Source organism: Homo sapiens, chromosome 1 (genome assembly GCF_000001405.40).
Source record: "Homo sapiens chromosome 1, GRCh38.p14 Primary Assembly".
NCBI classification, from domain to species: Eukaryota; Metazoa; Chordata; class Mammalia; order Primates; family Hominidae; genus Homo; species Homo sapiens.
The window spans coordinates 13,711,925-13,739,005 of record NC_000001.11 but is presented as its reverse complement, the minus strand read 5'-3'; the positions used below and the strand labels follow the sequence as shown (position 1 = coordinate 13,739,005).

The following is a 27,081-nucleotide window of genomic DNA, read 5'->3' as shown; positions in this document are numbered from 1 at the left end:
AATGAAAGCCTTTTTTTTTTTAAATAAAGGATTTTATTGACATTGCTACCGAGAAAATACTATACCTTCTTGGTATGTTCAAATTCCAGTTGTGTTTCAGTTACAGAATTAGATACCTGAAGGGTTTGTTGAAGATTATAAAACTGACATCCTACAGAATTAAATTTCTGGTGACTACAGACAAAAACGGGTCTTCAGTATCAACTACTTCACTCCTCAGATTACTTTAGGAGATCAGAGACTTCTTTTAAGAACTATTCTAATACATCACTGTATTCTAAAATGTTCTGAAAATTCTAGAATAAGGAAATAAAAGAGAATCTAACAGGTGATAGCACATTTTATTTCAATAAGCCCACTTGTCAGAGGACATTTCCCAAAACATAGGTTACTTTTATAGAGATACTAAAATACAAGTTTAAAAAATAAATAGCTTGGCCTCTCGAGCCCTTGAAGCCGCACTAACAGACCCTCTCTTAAAATTAGACTAACTAGATTTTATACTACAACTACACAAATGTTTCTGGAAAATCTCCCAGCAACAAATGCACAACAAATGTTGACTGGTTCACAGTAGACCCCCAGTGAACGGCCACTGGACAAATAATTTATTTTCACTCTTAAATCAGAAATTCTATCTATGAACCACAGATGTTTAAGAATCCCATATAACCGTATAAGTAACATGCAAAATTTTGTGCACATATGTGCATTTGTGTACTTTCGGGGGAGATTCTCAAAAGGGTCCACAACACAAAAAAAGTGTAAGAGTCTCTGGGCTTTGCTAACAGGAAGAAGACTGAATAAGCAACCAAGAAATGGGCTCCTGGCCTGATTCCAGGACTAATATTCTAACAATATTATTTTTAAAAAGGCCCTTATTTAAAAAAGGCTTTCACTGAAACACTTTTTTACCAAAGTGAGATCATCTTTTTTTTTCTTTATTCCTACTTTTAAATGAGGGTAAGTTCCTAACAGATTTGTTAGGAACTTCATGAAGCCACATAGAACTCAGATTTCTTGCCTGTGGAAAGATCTAGGTCACTTCTAGTATATCTTTATTCCACAAATAAAAATTTCCATGAGGTATTACCAGTAGTTTATAACACCACAAACATTTTATGCCAAGCATGGTGTTCAAGAACTTAAGACAGTGCCTGGTATGTGCTAAAAGCTTAATAGGGGTTAAATGAATGAATAAATAAACTCCCAAAGAGAGTTTTTTTTTTTACACCAGACCAAGCTGCCAATCTGAGTACAAGTAAACCTGTTCAAAAAGATCACTTAATTCTCTGTACTTCAATGTCCTTGTCTGTCCTACAGTTCCTGAGAGAAGAGGAATGTAATTGGCTCATCTGTTTCTATGACAACCAATTCTACAGCCATCCCACACCTTTAATTACTTCATTCAAAACCTATGCACTGCTATTAACCACTCAGCTTCTCAGCAAACCTGAAACCAGACATCACCACATTCACTCCTACTGCTACTCTTCCCTACACATCAAGACCAGGGCTCAGCAAACTTTCTGTAAAGGGCCACACACAAATATTTGCAGTTTTGCAGGCCATATGGTCTCCATCACCACTGCTCAACTCTGTGATTATGGGGCAAAAGAAGCCATAGATAATATTTAAATGAATGACCAGAGCTGTGTTCCAGTAAAACTTTACTCATGAACTGAAATTCGAATTTCATATAATTTGCATATGTCACAAAACATTTTTATTTTTCCAACCCTTTAAAAATGTAAAAACCATTCTTAGCTCCAGCGCTGTAATAAACAGGTGGCAGGTTGGATTTCCCTGGTGATCTAAACCTTTCCCTACTGCTAGAAAGCAGCACTGAGAGCTGAAAAGTACTTTCTGAGAAAAGGTTCTGCAGAATCAGCTGGTTGACTTCTCTTCTTGCCTGCAATTTTAACTTACAAATAATTTGAAATCAGAAGAACTGAGATAGCGAAGACTATAAAACTCACCTGTTAATATTTAATCATAGCAGCGCTGACTGATAAAAAAGTTTATATATCTTTTAAAAATTACATTAAAGTCTTCTCATTATACAGAGACAATTTCTCTATCAATTTTAACTGACATGCAATTCTACTTCTTCCCTCTATTCTCCTGACCTCAAAATTTGTTGCCTGAATGAATAAAATGTAAATATTAATAGAAGCAGTGACCACTGGTTTTCCTCTACAAAAATAGATATTTTTAACAATTTAATATTAAAAAGATTAACAATACTGGATTTTAAAAGGCTGGCAAGAAACATATACTCTTGGTGGTTGTATAAATAATTAATAGTACAGTCCTTCTGGAGAGAAAATGTTTGGCAAAATTTATAAAAAGTTAAAATGTATATAACTTTTTGACAACATTTATACTTCTAGAAATTCATCTTAAGGAAATAATCAGACAAGTCAACACATATTTATATACAATGAGTTTTATACTTTGAAAAATTATTTATAATCATAAAAACATTAAAACAATTTAAATGTCCAACATAAGGCTTAGTTAAATAAATCATGAATGGTATACAATGAAATTGTGGGTAGGCATAGGAATAATGATGTAAATAAGCCAGGTGCAGTGGCTCGCACCTGTAACCCCAGCACTTTGGAAGGCTGAGACGGGCAGATCGCTTGAGCCCATGAGCCCCTGAGTTCAAGACCAGCCTGGGCAACATGGTGAAACCCCATCTCTACCAAAAATACAAAAATTAGCTGGACATAGTGGCATAGTGGCACAGGCCTGTCCCAGCTACTCGGGAGGCTGAGGCAGGAAGATCACTTGGGCCCAGGAGGCAGAGGATGAGCTGTGAACATGCCACTGCATTTCAGCCTGGGTGACAGAGCAAGACCTTGTCTCAAAAAAAAAAAAAAAAAGAAAAGAAACAAACAATAACGTAAATAAGTAGTAGACATAGATATGTCCACAAGATACTGAAAGAAAAAAAAAGCATTAAAAACTGCATGTGCTGTTTGATCTCAATTGAATCAATTTCTACATATAGGTTGTAAATGTACCAGTGTATGTGTGAGGCTGAAAATAGAGAAGCAGCTAAGCAGGGAGTTAAAAGAATGTTCAGGAAGATGTTCACAGTGGTTGCGCCTGGATGATAGGAGTTTCAATGATTTTTATGTTCTTGTATATATTTTTCTGTGTTGTTTCTATTATGTTGCAGTGAGCATGTATTAATTTTAAATTTTAAAAGCTTTATTAGAACATATAACAGAAACAGTGACCGCTAATGTAAACTATGGACTTTGGGTAATAATGATATGTCAGTGCAGGTTCATGGGCTGACCAATGCCCCGCTCTGCTGTAGGATGTTGATAATGGGGAAGGCAGTGCATGTGTGGGGACAGCGAGTATTTGGGAACTATCTGTACTGTCTGCTCAATTTTGCCATGAACCTAAAACTGCTCCAAAAACAACTAAGTGTATTTGAAAGAAAAAGAAGAAAAGAAAAAAAAAGCTTACTAAAATAATTCTTACCCAAGCAATTCTAAAGTTCTGTTAATTAGAAGCAATTTGAATCCCATAAAAGTACATCTAAAAGGCTTTTATCAGAGGTGGTTTTAAAATATGGCAGATTACTCAGTGCGGATGGGGAGAGTCAAGAGAACGAAAACACCAAGTCCCGAGCGCCAGCTAGCTAGCGGCTCCCTGCCAGAAACTCATCGAAGAACGCTCTCTTCTTGTGAGAACCTATTTTGTGCATTCACCCTGAGGATACTCTACTGTTTCTCTCCTGTTATTTCTGATTTAACAGAATGTTTTCAGTGAAAGCTTAGAGGACTTAAGACTGGGTTAGATAATCAAGGGCTCAAGGAGAGCAATTTAACACTTTGTCTTAGATTAGCTTTAAAATGGAATTCTGGCTGGGGTCTAAGACCCTGCTGCTAAAAGATAAGCTGGTCTTAGGGGCTTTGATGGAAGAACAAATGCCAAGATGAGATTCTGATGATAAGCCATTTCTGTTACATTAATACAAGGCATTCTGATGCAGGTCTGAGGGTAAGAGCAGAGTTGGAATAAGTTAGTAGGAAACTACTAAGTCTTACCTCAATGTCATTTTCTTCTAAGAAATATTTACATTATAATTGATACTTCCTTTGCCATATACATACTTACACATGTATGTCATATCTATTCACTTTTATTTTAACAGAGCAAAAGGCTTACAGGTTTCTATATCAGATGTATATTTTGTAGTCAGAACTACTTGAATGAGATTTTTTTTAATTGCAGGAAGACAAAAGGCACCCTTGATAAGAACTAGGATTCTTATCAAAGATTTGCAAACTCTAGTAGTACAGTATATAAGAAGTATCTTACATTAACAATGGGATGTTAACAGGTTTATAGAAGAAATTCTAATAAGTCATGGTTCCAAATTTTCAACAACTATCAAGTCATACTATGTATGAATCTCAATGCAAATGAAGCTTAATGTACAAAAAGCACTATTAATAAATTATACAATATGCCCAACAACATCAAGTTGTTACATGGGATAAAATAGGTACTACTAACTTAAGTTTAATATTGATGGCATTTGTTCAAGATTAGTGTTATAAACACAGCACTAGAGAAAGCAGTTTCTGGTTCCTTGACATTATTCTCACTAAACGTAGTGTTAAACCTGGTGAGCCAATTTGTTAGTTTCCCTTGGGAAACATCTAAAATTAAAAATGCAGTTTATTTGGGAGCATAATTTTGTGGTCAAGACATTTTTAATCATGCAGGCATTATCTTTAGTAATTCACATTTTTTGGCCGGGCAGTTTTTCTACAAATACAGAACTCTTACACCTCAAAAGTGGTGAAATAACAGAATGCAATGACTCTTGTGGTAAATCCTCATTTCCTAAGACACCCCCCGTTAATAGTCAGAAGATACATTATAACAAATTCATAAGAAACAAATAACTCAAAATTATTGGGAGAAACTGTCAGATTTTTCAAGTTGGGAAACAGCTTAGAGCATAAAGAAAAATAGCAGCATACTTCAACCATACAAATGCCACAGAACTTCTTGATGAAAAGTGTCCACACACTTCCTAGCCATACTTTATTTTTAGGCTTTTCTATGTTAATGTGTGAAAAAACAGATGTGATTCAGTTTCAGACAATCTGACAGGAATGCTTTTTCTCATCATCCAAAAACTTAACTTGTTTTGAAAAGGAGTCACACCATGGAGCTCCTTTAAGAACTCAGGGGGGCTTCCAGGGGGCACTGACTTGAACTAAATTCATCACAAATGCTGAATTCCTACGCAATACCCCAGGGAACAACAAAAGCAACAACGACAAATTTTATCTTCACAACTATCCTAGGAGATATCTTCTATCTCTATTTTTTTAATTGAGGGTTTTCTAGCCCAGAGGCTATGTCCCCTGCTGCAAGTCACGAAGCTAGAGGTAGGATTTGAACTCAGGCAATGCAATGAAAACCTTAACTGCCTCCCAGTGAGGCAGGAGAGATGCATTCTAGTTCTGCATCTACAGGCCTCCCGGGTGGAGCCCCCCAGGGAAGGAGAGCTCAGCTCTGTCTCCTGACTGCTTCTCCTCTCAAAGGAGTGTGCAGATGCCCTGCTGTCTTCCAGAATTGCTGGGAAAACATGAAATTAATAGATGAAAAACTCCTGAAAAATTACAAGCTCTATATATGTGCCATATGCTAAATATATCCAACTGAATATCCTAGCAACATAGAAATTACTTTCTAAAATATAGAGAAGAACCTAACAGTGCTTTCTTTGCAGCCACCATAGAGTGTCTTTTATGGGGTTTATGTGGCGGCCTGTGAAGTGACAAACCATCAAACAGGAAGTCACGGTCTTAGTTGCAAAGCAAAACACCCTGGACACGGCAATGTAAAACATGGATTTGACATTTATTGTTGAGGACAGCCAAGCAGTTTCAAAATACAAAAGCATATATAAATAGCAGTCTGTATCCAGGGAAACACATTTTCTCTTTAATAAAAATATTCTTGACTTTAAAGAACACATTAAAATGATTGTTTTAAATTCAAAATGTCAAATTCTGAGAGAACAGAATAATTATTTCATAAAACTCTGAAAAACAAAGAATCAGAATTACTTCTTACCTCCCACATGTATACATTATTCTTAACCTGAGATCTTTTTTTCTTATCACCAACAAATGGCCCAAATTTTTTGCCTTTTAAAATTGGTTTAGTGGCCCAGACACCTAGAAAATAAAATCAGTATTTTTATAATGTATCATGGTTATTTTAAAGATTGAAACCATTAAAATCGCTTAAGTTTCACAAAACAGTTAAAAGGCTAGACTGCCTAAATCAAGCTAATGTTAAAATAGCCTGAGATCAAGTTAAATTAAGTCAAGTCCTCAATGGGGATTTTTATTTTTCTTCTTTATACTCTTCTGTTCTATAAAGAACCTATATTGTTTTACGATTAGAAAAAAATGTTTTATATACTTTTAAAATGTTTTACATGTAACACTACCCGTACAGTAGGATCACAAATACTTGAATAACACAGTCACAACAACTGAAGAGAAAAAATATTGGAATGGAGTGAAACTACAACTGATTTTTGAACTCCTCTGTCTGCTTGTTTATAAAGTTCAAATTGTCTCTAATGAACATGACTTGTTCTTATAAAGGGTTAGAAATATAGTTTTATGAATAAATAGTTTTGAAGTTCATTTGCTTTAAAGTAGAAAACCCTTTCCTGCCTAACTAAGCTTCCTGAAAACTTAGCTACTGGAACGGCTCACTTTTCAGAGTTTCTAACAGCCAAAATAGCTGTTCATCCACAGTATTCTTAGGGTTGTTTCTATTTACTATGCACTGACCATAACGGAAAGCGATATAATGAGCAAGCAGACAGTAAAATGGCAGGAGTCTGGCCCAGCAGTCAACAGCATCACTTTAGATCGGTTCCCTCACCTTTTGGCTTCAGTTTCCTCATATACAGAATGGGGGGTAAAGGCTGGGCCAGTCCTATCCTGCTAGGATGTACAAATTCCACTTCTCTGTAAGTCCGCTATGTAAGTCAACAATCAGTTGAGCTATAAAATCAACCACTTTCATTTGAACAATATGTTCAAACTGCTCAATGAATAAGTTTCCAATGAGAATTTTTAAAAGCATGTATTAAAATTTTTTCATACATATGTACATATAAATTGGGATATCGGAAGTACATCTAAAAAAAAGAAACAGGGATATAAATATGATATATTCCAAGACTGTATTTTGACTAAAGTTTTACAATTTACTTCCTTAGCTTCTGTCTAAAGATTAGGCCACATAAAAACCAAACACACACGCGCCTGGTTTGTGTTCAAGGAGAAATCCCAGCCAGAAGAATTTAGATACACTCACAGCATGTCATTCATTCAAGTATCTACTGAGGGTCCACAAAGTATCTGGTACTGGAGGCACAAAGATACATAAGAAATAAAGGCACTCACAAGCAATAACAGAGCCAAGTGTAAAAATATTACAAAACAATGAAGTGAATATAATGGTACAATCATGCTCCTCATGGTGAAATCAGAGAGAAGGGAACAACACGTTCTGTGGGGTGAGGCTCAGCAGGGAGACTCAGAGGAGGAGGACACTCAGGCAAGAGGGATGGGACCTACGTGTGTGTGTGTGTGTTTGTGTGTGTGTCTGTTTGTGTGTTCCTGGTTTTATTTTTACAACCCATGTCCAACCTGGATTCTTGACTAGAAAATGCATCAACACCATATAATCTTCTAAGTCAAGGGTAAATTGCTGCTTTTATGGTGCGCTCCCTACCTGACATGCCCCTGCAGGAAGCCTCACTGCCACCTGCTCTTTACTGCCTGACTTGCTCCGTGACAGGAGGAGCACTCACCAATCCGGGTCTTGTCAACAGCAGAAGGGAAAAGCCTCACTTCCTCCGGAAGTCCTCGCAGCACATGTTCGGGTACCTCAGCCAGGGTCTCGGTGGCCGCCACAGGCTCAGTAGTGTTCTGCAAGTCAAGAAATGGAAGGATCACAGCAAAAGAAAGAAAACTCAAATCATGGGTTTTTTTTTTTTTCTGGTTCAATAAGCAAGTATGCAAAAATGTAACCGAAACCTGAAGCTGGCAAGACAGACCAAAACGATGATGTCAAGCATTTGAGGAGCTGCTTTGATGCTTGTTTGTAACTGTCCAAAGGAAACCACTGCAACCTTCAAGCATGTCTGTGTTACTCTATTTTGTTCCAGCCACCTGTGGCCATTTCCAAAATATGATAATCTCTGCCACCATACTGCTTTAAACACAAATAGAATCTGGCAGCAAAATATAGCATAAGCTTACTTCTAAATCAAAGGCTACCATCAGTACCTTAGCACATTTAAAAAATAAAAACCAACACTGCCCACTTCAATGAATGCTTTCAGCACACACCACAAAGGCTACTGGGGCCCTCCAACCCTGCCCCATCCATGTTGCCCTCCAGCAACAACCCCTAACTGGATGGGGCTTGAATATTCCACCCCAAAACACGACAACTTATTGTGGTCCCTTACTGCAAGTGCCACCTTTCCAGGAAACAGTAATTTACCACTGTTTACCAAGTCACTAAACAGCAAAGTCACCAGGATATCACAGAGTTGCTAAGAAACAGAGAATTTTTTTAAATTATTTATCAAAGTTTAGGCTGGAATTCATCATAATCTTAAGAAAAGATTACTATTAGATATGTATGTAAGGAAGGGAGAGATTTGAGCCAACTGGGAGAATATGACTGTTATTTTCTCATTAACTTTCAAATCAAAGGAACACCAAGGGTCTAGTAACCAGTACACCATATATCCTACGGAGCTGATGTGCACATCACGGCACTGCTAAGAATGATAGGCTTTGTAGTCTGAGTGTGTTTCATTTCACTGCACAGGGAAACACTTCTCCAGGACTTTTAAATGAACCAACACAGGCAAAAGTAAACCCCAAACAAAAAAGATTAATTTTTCCCACAACCAGGAAGCTCTTGTCGTCTTCAAGAATATATGTACCAAGAAAAGAATATCATCCAAACTGGCATACTCTCAGCATTTCAATTTTTGGCTTATTAATTATCAACAGTCTACTTCAAGAGAAATAAATCTCACAGTCATTATAAACATGGTCATCTACTCTCTGGCCTGCTTCAAGCTCGAGAGCCCAAGAGAGGGCATCTAGAGACAGGTTTGTCTCTCGTGCAGAGCCGAGCCAACTGAGCCTCCATTTCAGACACACAAATGCTTTGTTCCTGCTTGATTTACACCTTTGTCCCAACAATATCCCTGAAACATTTTCCAAAACATAAGATAGCCAATTAGCCCCAGAAAATGGTCTTATGGTATTTTTAATTAGCTAAAGTGTGAATAAATTAACCATAGACATTTTTCACTTCTAAATATAGTGTCCCCATTTTTAAATTCTTAATCTATAAGCTGGATTTTTGGAAATGTGAACAATTTATTTCCAAAGAGGGAAAAGGTATTACACTGGTAGTTGGCATTGGCATCCTAAGCTACATAATGATTATTTCATAACACTGATAAAGTAAGTGACATTAACAAATATTAGCCAGAGTGATGTCCTATCAGCACTGGCCATTTAGTAAAGTAAAAGGGGATTTTCTTCTTCCGTCTCAGCTGGGACCCTAGGCAAACACTCAGCACCATTTATCCTCCCCAGGAGCACAGCCGCTTTGAAAAGTCACCATGTCTGCTAACCTAAACGGATACTTCCAGGCACTTTCACAGTAATTCTAATGACAACTTCGTATTTACTGAGAACTTCCTCGCTCAAGGCACTGTGCTGTCTTACATGCTGGGTAGAATGTACTCCAAATAGTCCAAGAGACAGGTATTATCAGTGTCTCCCCCTCTCCACACAGAGCAGGGAATTAGAGCTTAGAGACATTGCTTAAAGGGCTCAAAGCCTGGATCTGAATATCTGTCTGATTCGAGTGCCTATAGTCAGTCCTAATCATCAAGGAGTTTTCACTTAAGATTCTGCTGGAATATCATCTAAGAACCTCTGACCTAAAACTTCCAGATTTCCATGGAAATGTCAGCAGGAGATGGTGCTTAAGGCAGGAATGGTCACTCCCACAAGAAATGTGTAACTTGAGTACAAGTTAGAGATCACATGTATTAAAATTTCTGAAGCGCCCGAGAACATGAAGGACCTCAGCAGAGAAGCCATGGGAAAAAGAAATACCAAAAAATCCTATGTATTTGTTTATCTGTTTTAAGTCAACCCATTATTTTTTGTCTTTTTTTTCTTTTAAATTACTCCTTTATTCCACATCTTGTCCCACTAGACCCATTGGTTTTTCCTTTTGGACTCATACACCCAGCAGAGGAAAGCTTTTTCTGTTATTGTCGTATCCTTCACATTACAAAAAGACCAAACTACAACAGAGCACCTCAGTTCACAGCAGCACAACCCAGACGCTGGGCAGCCCCAGGGCCCTCCCTCCCTTCTTCCCCACAGCCCCGCTGGACTCTCCATGGCCGTGGCTATGGCTGCAAACTGCCTAGAACATTTCTAGAAAATCAATGATTTGAGAAGTAGAAGGTAGATTCATGGGCTGGACTTCTGAAATAGAACCACCCTCTTTTCTTCCTTGGTTCTCCTTCACAGCTCTTACCACAATTTTAAATGCTTATTTGTATAGCTGTGTGTTTACTGTGTGCCTCCTCTGTGAGACTGCAGTGAAGACAGATGGTGTCTATCTTATTCAGTGTTGTGTTCCCCCAGCTTAGCAGTAGATTTCAAATGTTTGTTGTCACTTAAATACTTGAATGAGTACATGGCTCTTTGTAAGCTAACTTAAAGCTTTTTTTAAAAAGGAGGGATAGAAATAAATGAAAGAGCTGGGTCATCTATCAGGAAGTATCTCCTCCACATGTGCCTGAATTTCTTGAAATTGAGGTAGGTATTCTTCTGGATCAATATAAGAATCCTTTTTTAGAAAATGTGGTATGCCATTAATTCCAAGCAACCAATGTACAAGTGAACCTTAGGAACAAAGGAATGTTTTCAAAAAATTCTCTCCCCCACATACTCATAAACTGGGATCTCTTCTTGGTACATATCCTGACAGGATAAGATGTAATATCATATCTAAACAGGTTCATCTTGATTCTTATACTAAAGAATCACAATTTGATCCTGGCACTATTTCCCAGATTGATCTTGTCTAAAATAAGTTGCACCATCTACTCTATTTATTTATTTCTATATTTCCAAATCCCTGCTACAGGCCAGGCAATGTTCTAGGCAGCACGCTTGCCTCAACACGGCATCACTCTGGTAAGAAATAGAGACAAAATTAAACACATACATACAATGGCTGATGCCCTGTAGAAAACTCAAGCACAAAAAAGGGGACACATGCCTTCCGATCAGTGGCGAATGAAAAAAAAGAGGGGAACGCGAGGCGTGGTGGCTCACGCCTGTAATCCCAGCACTTTGGAAGGTCAAGGCGGGCAGATTACCTGAGGTCAGGAGTTCGAGACCAGCCTGGCCAAGATGGTGAAACCCCGTCTCTACTTAAAATACAAAAATTAGCTGGGCGTGGTGGCTCATGCCTGTAATCCCAGCTACTCAGGAGGCTGAAGCAAGAGAATTGCTTGAGCCCGGAAGGTGGAGGTTGCAATGAGCCGAGATCGTGCCACTGCACTCCAGCCTGGCTGACAGACCGTCTCAAAAAAAAAAGGAACACAGTCATGGAGTAGGGATGGAGATGCCTGTTCAGACAGAATGCTGAGGCCTCTCTAGAAGTAGAAAGGGAATCTGTGACAATATTGGGGAAACATGTCAGGAAAAGAAAACAGCCAGGACCAAATCTCAAATTAAGAGGAAACGCAGTATCCAGGCAAAAAGACCCATGTGTCCAGAGCAGAGAAGGTAGGAGAAGCAGCTAGAACTGAGGCAGGAGGGGCAGGCAGGGGTAAGGTCTCTGAGAAACACTCATCGCCATTCGCTTGTCTACCCAGAATAAGCAGAATAGAAGTCATCAAGCAGAGAGCAGAGAGCAGATCGCAAGCTCCGCAAGGCACCCCAGCTGCTGGCGTCTCCCAGTACGCCCTGTCCTTGCTGCCCCTGAATAGAAGTATGTTCCTGTCTCATGGGTTTTTAACACTGATCACTGTGATATGAAAGAAGCTAAAGAACTTCTCTGCTTCCCTATTAGCTGACCTCAATGAGGACTCATTATTTGACTGCTTAATGAAGTACAGTCTTTAAACATGTATCAATGAACAGATCTGGAACAGTATGTATTAAATTTAACATGTTAAATTTAAGTCAATTTAATGTCATTTAGTTATTAACTATTAATTGATCTCATTAATTCGATGTTTCCAACTTCCTACCTCAAACTCAAAGAAAGTCACTACCCGCTTCTCTTCCCCCAATTAATCGCCAAAGCGTCTCTCCTTCATTCAGCCCATCCGTCAGTCATTAACACATACTCCCTGAGTGTCTGCTCAGAGCTAGCACCATGCTAGGACCCCCTCCTCATGAAGCCCACTGGCTAGAGGAAGAACTTCTCTGTTCCTGCTCCCTGAGACAAGAAACCTTGGACAGATTTTGATTCACGAGTTTTGACCTTGCTGGGGAGCCTCTGAAGGGCCCTTCTACTGCTTTCCTGATACATTTTCTCTGACCCAGGATGACCTTTCCATGCTGGACGGGGTGAGGAGCTTAGGGAATATAACATTTATTCCATCCTCTGAGCCAAGATCTGTGCTAAGCACTTTACATGCATTACCTCATTTAATCATCACAACAGTAACAATCACAACTAACACAGATGGAGCGTTCAAGATGTGTCAGATACAACTGTGAGCACTTATCACCTCATTTAATCTGCACACTACCAATTGCTATAGGCACTTCTATGATCTCCACGTTACAGATGAAACTAAACTTTGCCCATAGTCCCAGCCAGCAGGTGGCAGAGCTAGGTAATTTCAATCCAGACAATCTCGCTTCAGGGTCTGGATTCTCAAATACTATGCCACAGAGCAGCCCTGCTGAGTAACTTTCCCAAGCTACATAGTTTTGAAGTAGTGGAGCCAAGATAAAATCCAGACAGATTCCAGAGTCTACATTCTAACCACCAACCCAGTGGGGTCTCATACCTCACAGTCCGTGGACACCTGAGAATTCCCTTTCTGGGGCCCACAAGGTCAGAGCTATTGCTATAACAACACTAAGATGTTGTCTGCCTTTTTCACTCTCAGATGTGTAGAGTGGAGTTTTCTGGAGGCTATCATGTGTGAAAATGTCATCATTCTGGTGGCTTATGAAATGTGTGATTGTTTAATCTTATGTTTTAAATTTTTCTGATTTATGAATAAGGCCTGTAGTCTAACTAGCATTATTATACCAAATCAATTTCCTAGCTTTCATATTGTACTAAAGCTTTGTAAGATGTTACTGCTAGAAAAGGCTGGGTAAAGAGTACACAGGACTTGGGCCGGGCGCAGTGGCTCATGCCTGTAATCCCAGCACTTTGGGAGGCCGAGGCAGGCAGATCACTTGAGGTCAGGAGTTCAAGACCAACCTGGCCAACATGGTAAAAACCTATCTCTACTAAAAAAACAAAAACTAGCTGGGCGTGGTGGCGCACACCTGTAATCCCAGCTACTCAGGAGGCTAAGGCAGGTGAATCACTTGAACCCGGGAGGCGGAAGTTGCAGTGAGCCGAGGTTATGCCACTGCACTCCAGCCCGGGGGATAGAGCAAGACTCCTTCTCAAAAATAAATAGAGTACATAGGACTCTCTACACTATTCTTATAACTTCATGTGGATCTATAACTATTTCAAAATACTTTGTTATAATTTCCAATATGGTAAACATCCATAGATACAACAAACATCATCAAAAAGCTCAAGCTGCTACTGCACTAAGACCGCCTCCAGTCTTCCATCGTACCTCCCCTCTCAGGGCTAAGAAGACAGGACCGACTCCTAGAGACCAAACCTACAAGAGTGGAGGGAGGCAGGGGGGCTTAATCCAAACATTCATGTCCTACGTTCTCCCCTTCCTGGGCACCTCCCCCACTTCCTGAGTACAACTGTTAACATTAAAAACTACAAGCGTTACAACTATAAGCTTTCTCCCCTCTTCCTCCTCCTTCCTTTTTCTCCCTTTATGCCCTGCAATATCTTTTTCTTCCATACTTTGTTTTATACATTTTCCCTTAAAAATAAGCCATGAACTTTGGGAGGTTGAGATGGGTGGATCACGAGGTCAGGAGATCGAGACCATCCTGGCCAACATGGTGAAACCCCGTCTCTACTAAAAATACAAAAATTAGCTGAGTATGGTGGTGCCTGCCTGTAGTCTCAGCTACTCGGGAGGCTGAGGCAGGAGAATCGCTTGAACCTGAGAGGCGGAGGTTGCAGTGAGCCGAGATCGTGCCACTGCACTCCAGCCTGGGGACAGAGTGAGCCTGTCTCAAAAAAAAAAAAAAAAAAGCCATGAAAAGGAATTTCTATAACTTTCTACATCAATGTACATGTGAAAAGAGTGTGAGCAGTGTCAAGTATGCAAAGTTAGGGACAAAACATGGCTGTGACATTTGCTTTCCCCAAACAGGCACAAGAGTCTTTATCATTTGAAGGGTTTCACTGCTAATCTCTAAAGGAGAAAAAGCAAAATATACCAGAATAAACTGAGATAAGTTGCAATGGCTTCAGAGTATTAATAAACACAACAACTTACTGTCAATGCCCGTTTAGGCTCCTGCAGGGAATGGAGAAAAAAGCAGAAGAAAAGTTCCCAATACTTTAAACCCCAGGGTGGTGAAGCTGAGACCCCAGCAAGGTGAGGTTACCAAAAGGGGCCAATTTGCATTTGTATTCCAGGCCTGGGCTCTACCCAGAGAACACTTTAGCCTCCTAGAAGCTAGTCCCCACTATCCTAACCTAGTAGGATTTCCCCTATGGCTCTGTTACAACACTCTCCACAACTTGCAACAGTGTGCCCTGTGTATTGTGAAAGCCCTTCCTGGTTGGCTTGGTTAATCACCTCTCCAGAGAGGCAAGTTTAGGGCTGTAGACAGGCAGGCTGTGCTTACTCGCCTCGATACAGCCTGGCACAGAGTGCCCAGCTCAGAGCAGTGGTCACTGCGAACGGGCAAACAAATGCCTGGCAATCAACTGCCCAGAGGTCTGGGCACAGAGAGATGGCTGTAAGAGCAGTACAGCCCCAGCTGGCCATGGAGTCCATGGAAGTGGATGAGAATCCTCGATGGAAAGCAGAGGAGAGAACAGCCGAAAACAAAGCCCTCAGAATGCCCTTATCAAAGAATGAAACGGAAGAAGAAGCACAGCAAATGAGTCCCAGTCCTAGAAGTCATCGCAGAGCCAAAGAGGCACCAAGCACATGGCATCACCAAAGCTGGGGAAGACTCCAGGAAGTGAGGGTGGTCAACAGAGCCAAACCCTGCTGCTGATCCTTCAAAATCTGTCACGTCCAATTCCTTTCTCCAGTTCCCATTGCCACTGACATCTTCCAACCTGAAGTTATTCAGGAATCTCCAATCATCCTGCACATATTAGCAGCAAGTGTCCATGTGCTGGAGCAGCGCTACCTGGGGAACGCAGCAACCAAGAGAAGGGGCAGGTCCTGCCCACCTGCACCCCAAGCTAATGTGGCAGACTAGGGGTGTTCAACGTCTCAGTGACCTAAAGAGTGATGTAGGAGAGATAAGGAGGGGACAGTGCAGTGCTTTAGTTAGGATGGCAGGGGGAGGCCTCTCAGAGAAGATGTCACACAGGGACTTGGACTTGAGAGATGAAAATGAGTCATGTATTAAGAACTGAGCAGTCCAGGCAAACATGCCAAGGAGAGAAGGGGCCTGGGCTGTTCAGGAATAAAAAGAGGCCACCGCGGCTGCACCAGAATAGAGACGGGAAGAAAGCAGAGGCAGCCACCACTGGAACATGCAAAACCAAGGCAGGGCAAAGAGCTGGACTCAATTCAGAGAGCGGTGGGATGACACAAGAGGGTTTGGGCAGGAGAGTGACGAGATGGGGTGAGGCTTTCTGGCATCTAGGCTACTCTACATTCAACTTCTCTGAACCTTTTGTCTTCTTGAATAAGCAGTCTACAAAGTATCTGATTCAAAACGCTTTTTAAACTTTCTAAATAAAATCTAGTCATTGGTCTGCTGGCTTTAGAGACTGTCAACGTTCAAGAGAAGCAAAGAAAATAAGTCACCTGAGGGCTCATCCCCTCCTCTTGTCCAGAAGATTCTAATACAGAATGGGAATGGGTGAGGGTGGGGACAGGGGATTGGTAAGCAGGAGAAGGAGCTTTCTACTGCCTCCCACTGAGGCTGTTACTGGTGAGACTGAGTTTTAACTTCTCAAACTATCTTCATCCAAAGCAACAAACTGTGGGCTACAGCCTTTCATCTCAGATGGGGTTTGTTCGGTCTACCCATGGATTTAAAAAAAAAAATTCTATTGGAAGAAATCACAGAAAAATCCCCATTTTACTCTTACAGGTCATCCCTGGCCCCTACAGGCATCTGGGTTCCTGGCACACCCTCTGGCCCCTCCTACCCTCACCACATTAGGTCCCCTTGCTACTCTGGGCCTTTCTCAATTTAGACTTTCACCTGGCCCTCAATTCTTCTGACGATCAATATCCTCCACATCCTTCCAGGTCAAGTTCAAATCCCAGCTCCTCCACGAAAACATTCCCAACAACTCGCAACGACCGCTGGCTTTTCTGATTTCCCAGATGGTGAGCTGCATGTTCTGTAAGGCCTATGGAGAATGGTCCCATAGGGAGGAAAACGTTGGCGAGGAAATCAATCAGGAGCTTTCTGTAATAGCCCAGAGAAGGGATGTTTGGGTCTGAATTCAAGCAGTAATAGTAATTAAACTATTTTACAGGACAGAATCAGGACATGGTTACCGGCTGAAAAATAACAGTAATAAATAATAATTTACGGTGTTTCCTATGTCAGGCACTAGCCTAAGGGCTTTACATCTATAAACTCATTTACTATTGACTGCAACCACACGGGGTAGGCACCATTACTGTCCCCATTTAACAGATAAGAAAGTGAACACAAATAAGCCGAGGACTTGCCCAAGGTCACACAGCTGGAATGACATTGCCAGAACTGACCAAGGAGAGTGAGTTAGAGGGCATCAAAGGAGAGGCAGAGAAAAACAGTCCCACAGCTTTTTTCTCTGCCGAAGTGTTACTATCCTAACATAAGAGGAAAGGCTTCTTGCCACAAGCTCATTCCACTGACTTAAGGAAATGCTATTCAGGTTGTTAATTTTTTTTTGAATTTCACAAATAATATTTTCATTCAGAAAGACAAGGTCCCAGATTTTCTAAAATTTGCTAATTTATCTAGTAGAATACATGATTCAAAATGAGATTTCAAGGGCTACCACTATTCATTCAACATGCTAATTTCCTAAACTACACATTTATTAGTTGAGGTTTAAGTCAAAACAGATAGCAACCACCTTACTTAGAAGTCTTTTTTTAAAGTGAAAAAATCAGATTCATATTTATAATTATCTATAAAAAATATACTTCTATATTAATAATATGATAAAACAGTGAAAGTGGTTTCAACTTTTTATATCATATATATTTTTAGAATTAGAAAAAAGGGGGAGAGATAACTAAGATGAAAGATAGAAAGCCATCCCAGGGTTTCGCTAACTCTTTGGAATTAAGATTATGAATAGACATATCTACATGGTCAGATGGTCTCCCATAAAACAGCTCCCGTAAAGAAATGAACTACTGATACATGCAACAATATGGCTGAATCTCAGAAACAGTATAAAGACCAAAATGAGACAAACAGCAAAGGGCAAGGACTATATGTATTCCACTCCTATGAAACCCCAGAATAGGAAAAACCAATGTGTAGGAACAGAAAGCCGATCAGTAGTGACCTTGGGCAGGGAAAGACTAACTTCAGAGCAGTAGAAAAGAACTTTTTGGGGTGACAGACATGTCCTATGACTCGACAGCAGTGATAGTTACACGGGTGTGAAACTTGTACTATACAGTTAAAACAGTTACCTTTTACTGTATGCAGCTTATACCTCAAAGTTGATTTTTAAAGTCAAATAACTAAACAGGTCAATAAATCCTAAATTCTCATCTTTAAATCATGTTAAAATGAAACTTTAATGCACCAAGAAAATATTTCCGATTGTATTCACTTTCTTATCTGTTAAATAGGGATAGTAATGGTGCCCACCCCATGTGGTTGCAATCAATAGTAAATGACTTACTGAACGGAAAGCACTTAGGCTAGTGCCTGACATATATGAAACACGGTAAGTTACTATTTTTTATTATTATTATTTTCAACCAGTAACCAAGTCCTGATTCTGCCCTGTAGAATAGTTTCATTATTTGTATTTATTAAGAATTTTTTAACTCAACTCTAACAGCCCTCTCCTCAAAACCCTCCAAAGGTTCCCCACCTCACTGGCAAAGTCTACTCTGTCCTTCTGGCGACCCCAGAGCTGAGCCCACACTTCTTTGACCATTTACTCCACCCTCCTCAGGTCTGCTCCAGGTACATGAACCACAGAACCAACCTCCTCCACTCTCCCTACCCAGCCCTTCTCTCCATACTCTTTAGACAAACATTGACTGTAATCAGCAAGGTAACTCTGCTCTACAGCATAACATTGGCATTGGCTGCTGTTACATAAAGCTGCATGTACCATCTTACATGGTCAACACATACTAATGTTTTTATTTTTAAAAGTATATAAGAATAAGCAAATTTTATTAGCGTCTCATTTAAATTTATATAAGTAACTCCTTTTACATGCTTTGCCCAGAGAATTATCAGCAAGTATTATATCAGTTTAATCTATTTAATTAAAGCACCTAGTTTCAAATATTGACTTGATCAAAACTAACTGGAAAGTGGCAGCAATACATGACGGAATAGATTAGACCAATTTTCCTTAATATTAAGAACAATTCATAGTATATTCATACTAAAATATATATTATTGCTACAATAGACTAATAATAATCACCAAAGTAACTGTTACAAGCAAAAAACAGCTTAGAATCATACCATATTAAAATCGCTAAAATTCTACGAACCCATCTTTGTATAGATTTGCAAACAAGAATCTAAGCTACTATGCTGGAACAAACGATGGGAAAAAAAAAATCAAACAAGCTTCAGTTTACTGAAATGGCATTAAATTATTTGGTTAAGAAATGAGCAGGACTGCTATAACAATAAACAGATGAAAACACAAACCAAGAAATGCTTATACACCATTTTTTAAAAAGAACAGGAGTCAAATTAGTTCTGAAATACAAAAAAGTACCCTCTTTCAAAAAGCTGTCAGGTCCATTAAGTCGTCCAACTGAAGAAACTGTCCTAAAGCATGGTGTTAATCTCAGTAGTGAACACACGTTATCACCACACTCTTGCTCCCTTACAATCCAGTCTCCATAGCACAGTGGGGAGGACATCCTAAAAATGAAAATCAGCTTGTGTCACTGTCCCGTAGCCCTAAAGGCCCTATAAAACTTGCCTCTCACACCAATGTCCTCTTATCCCAGAGCCCCTGATAGGGCCAAGCTCCAGACCATAGCTTGCTCTCCGTTTCATGAACTACCAAGCTCATTTCCACTTCAGGGTCTTTGTACTACTGTGTGTTCACTCTGCCTGGAATTTTCTTTTTCCAGATCTTCATGTGTCTATCTGGTTCCTGGTTATTACCTAAGTTTCAGTTCTACTAGCAATCACCTCCACAGAGTAGCCTTCTCTGACCATGTAATCCAAAGACCTTCTTTCACCTCTACCCATCATCCTTTATAACAAGATCTTGTTTAATTGTCTTCACAGCACTTTTCACTATCTGAAATTACCTTGCTTGTCTTCCTGCTTTTTAACTGTCTCCCTCTTGGAGTATGTTACTGGCAGAGCCCTTGCCCACCTAGTTCACTGCAGAACCCATAACATGCTGGGATACAGTCTGTCCACGATGAATGAGGGAAGGAATGAATGAATTTTAGGGACAACTGAGATAATGGAACCATTCCTGAGATAAAGCCATTCCTAGATAAGTCTAGGAAAATAAGAAGGAAAACAGTGGAACATCTCAAAAGTTAAGTATCAGGATGGGTGTGGAACGTTAATGAAGCAAGTAGGATACCTACGATCTGAGAATGGAGAGAAGGGAGCATGGAGAGCCAGGGGAGGAGGCACAATGACTACTGCTCTCGCTGCCACCCAGGCATGGGCTCAAGCGGAAGGATCGAAGACTCACATGCAGAGCAAGCTGGGCTCTAATTGAGAGGTTAAGAGATATTAAGAAAGGGGTGAGTTTTGAGTGAAGAACAGAAGGGAAGAGAAAGAAAGCAAAGAATATGTAGGTCGGGGAGCTTTGTGAGAGCTGGGCTCAGAGGGAGCTATCACACTAGGACCGACTTGGAACACACTGATACAACTGAGCGCAACAGTCCAGAATGCCGCCTCAATAGTCAGTGCTGAAAGTACTGGCAGGCTGTGGACTCTACTGCTTCTTCTAAAGGAATCAATAACAAACAATATGATATGCCCATGACGAGGATCCTGCAGTCCCTGAAACTCAACTGTCAGGCATATATCAACAAATTATTCTATGCTATTGTCTTTGAGACCATACCCATCATAAGAAACAGAACTGACAATTAAAACCCATCAAAGCAATGCTGATCCATTCCTGGGGAGAATAACCTAACCCTAAAATAACCATCGGGATTTTATTTATAAGTCAATCTTCTTCAAGTTCAAACTTTTTTATATCTGAATTTTGTTGTGTGGTTATTTTTCAGTTTTTCAAGCATTTACTGCTCATTTTCACTGTCTGAAAATGACAGCAATAAATACGAGAAGGGAAAACTGTAAATTATCCTGAAATAAGTCTTAACCCTGAAGAATGACTGGGGTGATTGTTGAAAAACACTGATAGATTTTATGCCATAACAATTGGGTCTAAACAGCATATAACTAATATTCTTCTAGTAATGAAAATATAACAAAAGATGCTAAAAATTTTACTCATAAAAAGTGGGCAATTTTTATAATCCAAATAAAAGCTTCATTACTACCAGACCATTTAAATTACACCCAAATCAGAAATGTGTTAACCATTAGAAACATAAGAGGACACTTTTCCACTGATACTTGGCATTTGGGATCAAAGGCGGTCTTCTGCAGATCTGATATTAAAACTTGTCAAAAGCAAAACGAAATTATAAAAGAGCCAAAAAAAAAAAAAGTAGTAGTTATTGCTACCACTTTTTGACTGGCAAGCAGACTTTTTTAAACACAAGTTTGATATAATGGAAATATAAAGCAAAAGTTTGAAGTGTCAAGTCTAATTCACTAGAAATATTACAAGTCTAATACTGTACAAGAATTAAGGCATAATTAATCCTAAGGTTAAAGATGTAGACATATCAAATAAATGATTTCTGAACAGCGATGCAACAAGAACAATATTAACATTTAGATTCCACTTTGGAAGAACTCACAACCATTCTAACGCAGGATCAAGACTCCTCCAACAAAACAGTTCCTAGACTGCAGAGAACCGAGCTCCTTTGGGTGACCAGGTTCGTAATAAGAATCAATCTTAAAATAGGAAAATAAATGAAATCTATGAAATATATATGAGTATAACTTTGATGGACGATGACTGTGAAAATCCACTCTGTTCTCTTTTCCCTCCCCCATCTCACCATTTCAAAAATAATTTGCCTTCAAAAGCATGTCAATAAATCTGCAAGTTTTAAAATAATAGAAAGCATGTGCCCCATGTGTTCGCCAGATTCGTTTTTTATGACATATGTCCTCTGCATTAAAATAAACATTTCTGATAAAGAAAGTAATGAAATCAAAAGAATCCAAAAATTTCACATCTCTCAATGCAGCACAGGACTGAATGTATTAAACTTGGCCCAGCTAATTAAATTGAACTTGTGATCTCTAGGTAGAGTCACCTGTACATGAAAAAAAAGGTGTCTAAAGTTTCAGTTGATGAGGGATACAAAATGTTTTCAAGTCTGAGAGTTTTAAGCTAAGGACTAAAAAAAAAATTACATACTTCATATTTTGGGTTTTGTCCTTCATATTTTAAAAGTAAGTGCTTATGAACATTTTAAAAAGAAAACATTTCTGACACCCACGTATTTCTGTAACTACAAGAGAGATGATATTGAAACCAGAAAATAAGAATCCTACTCTAGAATATATTATTAGATCCACATAACTGGCTCTACTTATCAGAACACCCTTGAAGCTATGAAAATATCCATAGCAGAATAATTTAATCACCAGGTAATCCCACATCTCCTGTAAAGAGAAACACATCTTACATTTCAATATTTGCCCTCTTGTTTTTATTCTGAGAACAGGTTTTTCAAGGACAAATGCTTAAAGTTTCTTCTTTGATCATTTGCAGTCTCTATAAATAACTTTTAATCCTCTCTTTTTTTTATTTTTTTATTATTATACTTTAAGTTTTAGGGTACATGTGCACATTGTGCAGGTTAGTTACATACGTATACATGTGCCATGCTGGTGTGCTGCACCCACTAACTCGTCATCTAGCATTAGGTATATCTCCCAATGCTATCCCTCCCCCCTCCCTCCACCCCACAACAGTCCCCAGAGTGTGATGTTCCCCTTCCTGTGTCCATGTGATCTCATTGTTCAATTCCCACCTATGAATAAGAATATGCGGTGTTTGGTTTTTTGTTCTTGCGATAGTTTACTGAGAATGATGATTTCCAATTTCATCCATGTCCCTACAAAGGACATGAACTCATCATTTTTTATGGCTGCATAGTATTCCATGGTGTATATGTGCCACATTTTCTTAATCCAGTTCTATCATTGTTGGACATTTGGGTTGGTTCCAAGTCTTTGCTATTGTGAATAATGCCGCAATAAACATACGTGTGCATGTGTCTTTTAACCAACAAATAATCACAAAATAAAAAACGCTAAAAATGAAAGCTTAATAAGCTTCAAAACAAACACACACAAAAAACTCACACTAGAGTGTGGCAAGGGAGAGGTCAAAAAGAAAGTCTTAATGAAAATCCCTAAGAATGAGTCCTCTCCTCAGGGAACCACAGAAACGCCAACCCACGCCCAAACAATGCACATTCCACTGCACGAACAAATGCACGGTATGAACACAATGAACTAATTAATGGTATTAAGAAACAAAAATGAGAATCCAGGAGAAATGAATGTGTGTGCTACTATCTTGTAAAAATCAAGAGCTGGTCTAACATCTAGGTCATGTATTTGTATAAATTCTGATTTTTAAACTCACCTGATTCATTTTCAATTCCTGTTGTGTTCTGTAAAGATACACACAACAAAGAAACTTCTTTGATTACATGAACCCTAAAAAGAAAAACAGACAATTGTAATATGTACCTGCCTACAAATTTACAGGGATTTAAAACCACATACAGAACTGTAGAGTTTGCTGAAAGGGCTATTTATAAAGCAACTCTATGCCAAATCAACTTCAATCTATGCTGAGAGCTTCCTTGTCAGATTTATTATCTCCAGTAAAATAGATTTCTTACTACTCTTTGCTAGGGCTTCACTGTACTCTACAACTGAAAGCGGACTCATTAGGAGGACATCAAATCTTTGCTTTGGAACTGCATCATTCCTAAGAAGAAATAAATTAGCTTTCTTAATAGAAATACAAAGCATTATTGAGTACCTTATTATGCAATATAAGTGTCTTTTTCTTTTACCAATACTGTGTTGTACGTAAACACCATTAGACCCCATTACATTATTCTGTTTTTCAAGTTCCTGAATTAGAAAGTTGAATTTACTAACATTGGCCACCAGGAGTTCTCTCTGAGGAAAAGAACAAAAAACTGGCAGTAAAATGCAAATGTTTTAATAAAAGATGTTGGGAAACAGCTACATTGTCCCTTTAAAAACCCATGTTCCATGTATTCATAGTATAGTAAAATAAAAAGACAAAATTATTTCTTGTAAATGCGTATGACATACTTGTTTCTAAATAATAATCTCTGAAAATGGTCCTTTCTGCAACGTATGCCTTGAGTCATTTGATGTAATTCATAATAAATTAAATCATGACACTTTAAGTAGAACTTCCACTGTAAGGTTCTAAACATTTCCCACGTTTACATACACATACCATTAGGCATAATTCTCCTATTTCTTTATGCACTTGCTTATAACTTATCTTTCCTTCCTTGACCCACAAGCCTCTGCTTACATTGTAACATTATGTTCTAATTGTTAATAACCCAAAGAATACATAATTTAGTGACATTCTTCCTACTGCCTACCCACTGTTTTGACATTTTACCCTTGTTTTTTAATAAGGTAGTTGGATTTTTCTTTCCTTTTCTTGATCTATTTAACCACTCACCTGATCACCCTTAACCACCAAAGGCACTATATTTAAGTTAGGGCCTGGCCGTCTGAACTACTTTTATTCATAATTGGCATAAGGATGTATTCCATGAGATTGCATCTTGTTAGACAGCTCACTGCTAGCCAAACCAATATAAACTCTTGGTAAGCAAGTACTCAGGAAAAAAAAAAAAAAAGCCAGAGAATTGCAAGTTAAACCATGAAGTCCATTCCTTTACATTTTAATACTGAGCATCTTTCTCATCTATATTTACATGTCCTGCCTTAGTAAACATCACATATTGAACATAATCAACCCTCTTCTCTAAGACATAAGATTGTTATCAAGTTAAAAATGTATATTTTGGGCCGGGCACAGTGGCTCATGCCTGTAATCCCAGCACTTTGGGAGGCCAAGGCAGGTGGATCACGAGGTCAGGAGATCGAGACCATCCTGGCTAACACGGTGAAACCCCGTCTCTACTAAAAAATACAAAAAATTAGCTGGGTGTGGTGGCAGGCGCCTGTAGTCCCAGCTACTCGGGAGGCTGAGGCAGGAGAATGGCGTGAACCCGGGAGGCGGAGCTTGCAGTGAGCCGAGATCGTGCCACTGCACTCCAGCCTGGGCGACAGAGCGAGACTCCGTCTCAAAAAAAAAAAAATGTATATTTTGGTATTAAACAGTGATGAGGTTAGTGATCCCTCAGATGTGCACACCTGACCCTCGACCAGAAACGCCTACTGACTACTATCCAGTTCCACGTGGTGGCCCTGCGTGACACCTTATTCCCCCAGGTGAATAAGATGTTAGGGGTTTCACGTGTCCTCTGACAAAGCTTTTATAGGTAGATTTATTAACACTGGCTCAGGGGAGTTCTCTTTGAGGAACAGAACAAAAAACATCTGCGGTAAAATGCAAATGTTGTAATAAAAGATGTTTGGAAAGAGCTATAATGCTTTACCATTTCCCTTTGTTTGCCTTTTCCCTCTCACAAGAATCATCGGTATCATCATCACTATCATTTATGAAGCTTCTTCCAAGGACTTGCAGGCACTGTGCTGCCTTCAATGAACCAGCTCAGGTCCCCTTCACCAAAATAAGCACAGCACTGGTATCCTCAATTAACAAGAGCTTAAGATAATTCGGTCAAGGTCTCATAATTTTGGTTTCTGCTAATGCATCTTAACTACATTTCACCAATTTTTTACTCCTGCCTCCCCATGAGCACCCACTATGTGTCAAGCACTGCCCTTGAGCAGTGGAAAGGAGGAAGATCACTGCCCTTTTGGGGAAGACAGTCACAGTAAATACATAAGTAAAATATGTGGCATGCCAGAAAATGAAAGCGCTTTAGAAAAAAATAAAGAGTTATGGAGAGGGAGATAGTTACTACAATCTCTATGCAAATTCAACAGTGTGGTCAGAGAAGGATTGAGAAGGAGCAGTCTACATAAAAGCCAGGAAAGGGACGAGCTTCAAACCAGGAAAGTATGGGGAGAAATGTTATATGGAGGTGGAGGTGGAAGCAAAAGCGAGAAGCCTCACAAGGCTGCAGCCTGGGGAAGCAGAGAGGGAGCCAGGATGTTGGTGTGGCTGGTGCAGAGTCGGTGAGGGGCGCATGAAGAGGCAATGTCGGAGGCTGATGCCCAGTCTAACCAAGAGACAATGGGGGCATGGCTCAGCCAGTAGAAGAGATGTGAAAAGTAACTGGATCCTGGACGGACAGACGGACGGATGGATGGATAGATTTTATTTCTTTTTTTTGTTTGTTTTTTGAGACGGAGTCTCGCTCTGTCGCCAGGCTAGAGTGCAGTGGTGTGATCTTGGCTCACTGCAGCCCCCACCTCCTTCCAGGGTTCAAGCAATTCTCCTGCCTCAGCCTCCTGAGTAGCTAGTACTACAGGCACGTGCCACCAAGGCCAGCCAATATTTTTGTATTTTTAGTAGAGACGGAGTTTCACCATGTTGGCCATGATGGTCTCGAGCACCCAAAATGTGCTGCAGTTTTAGATCTTAGGCATGAAAGAAAGAAAGTCAGTCAGGGATGGCACTGAGGTTTTGGTCCTGAGGGCATGGGAGGATGGAGCTGCTGTTTTCTGAGATGCTGCCTTCTTCTTACCATCTGCTTTTCATGTTTTCCCTCTTTATTTAACACTTCTTTTCTTTTCCTCACCTTTTGTCATTGCTAGCTTGTAGGCACAATTCAGACAACTGAGATATCCTAACATCTGATATTGAATAATTACAATAGTACTTAAAACATTGCATTATTTGATTATCTCAAGGAATCTCATGTTCTTCTTTTTTTCTGGAGATGGTGTAGTACTCTCTCACCCAGGCTGGACTGCAATGGCACAATCATAGCTCACTGCAGCCTCGAACTCCTGGGCTCAAGTGATCCTCCCACCTCAGCCTCCTAAATAACTAAGACTACAGGCTCGCGCCACCATGCCTGGCTAATTTTTTTTTTTTTTTTTTTTTGGGTAGAGATGGAGTCTCACCTTGTTACCCAGGCTATCATCTTTTTCTTAATAAAAAAAGGTTAGAATAAAATTCAGACTGCTACATAATTAATAATCTTCTCTTTCTACACTACCTGTTTCCTCTCTG

At 39.5% G+C, this 27,081-nt stretch overlaps 1 protein-coding gene across 7 annotated transcripts in view, besides 3 other annotated features; it reads right to left on the bottom strand.

The window, feature by feature from the left end:
• Positions 1 to 27,081, bottom strand: part of PRDM2 (PR/SET domain 2) — a 124,892-nt gene that overhangs the window by 86,074 nt on the left and 11,737 nt on the right. For 4 of the 7 annotated variants that reach the window (NM_001393986.1, NM_001135610.2, NM_012231.5 and 1 more), the window contains exons 2-4: positions 23,392 to 23,465; positions 7,889 to 8,006; positions 6,124 to 6,227 (exon numbers count right to left, since the gene is read on the bottom strand). In NM_001393986.1, the coding sequence (NP_001380915.1) occupies positions 6,124 to 6,227; positions 7,889 to 8,006; positions 23,392 to 23,400 (231 nt within the window). In that variant the 5' untranslated portion in view covers positions 23,401 to 23,465. Of the gene's footprint in view, positions 1 to 6,123; positions 6,228 to 7,888; positions 8,007 to 21,580; positions 21,681 to 23,391; positions 23,466 to 27,081 lie in introns of those variants that run through there. The other 3 variants (XM_047429994.1, XM_047429995.1, XM_047429996.1) reach the window with 2 other exon arrangements.
• Positions 7,496 to 7,585: an enhancer, noted in NCBI's record as "active region_219". NCBI's record gives its function as "activates an Ori minimal core promoter by ATAC-STARR-seq in GM12878 lymphoblastoid cells {active_cell/tissue: GM12878}" and the evidence as "EXISTENCE:reporter gene assay evidence [ECO:0000049][PMID:35858748]".
• Positions 7,806 to 7,865: an enhancer, noted in NCBI's record as "active region_218". NCBI's record gives its function as "activates an Ori minimal core promoter by ATAC-STARR-seq in GM12878 lymphoblastoid cells {active_cell/tissue: GM12878}" and the evidence as "EXISTENCE:reporter gene assay evidence [ECO:0000049][PMID:35858748]".
• Positions 7,926 to 8,235: an enhancer, noted in NCBI's record as "active region_217". NCBI's record gives its function as "activates an Ori minimal core promoter by ATAC-STARR-seq in GM12878 lymphoblastoid cells {active_cell/tissue: GM12878}" and the evidence as "EXISTENCE:reporter gene assay evidence [ECO:0000049][PMID:35858748]".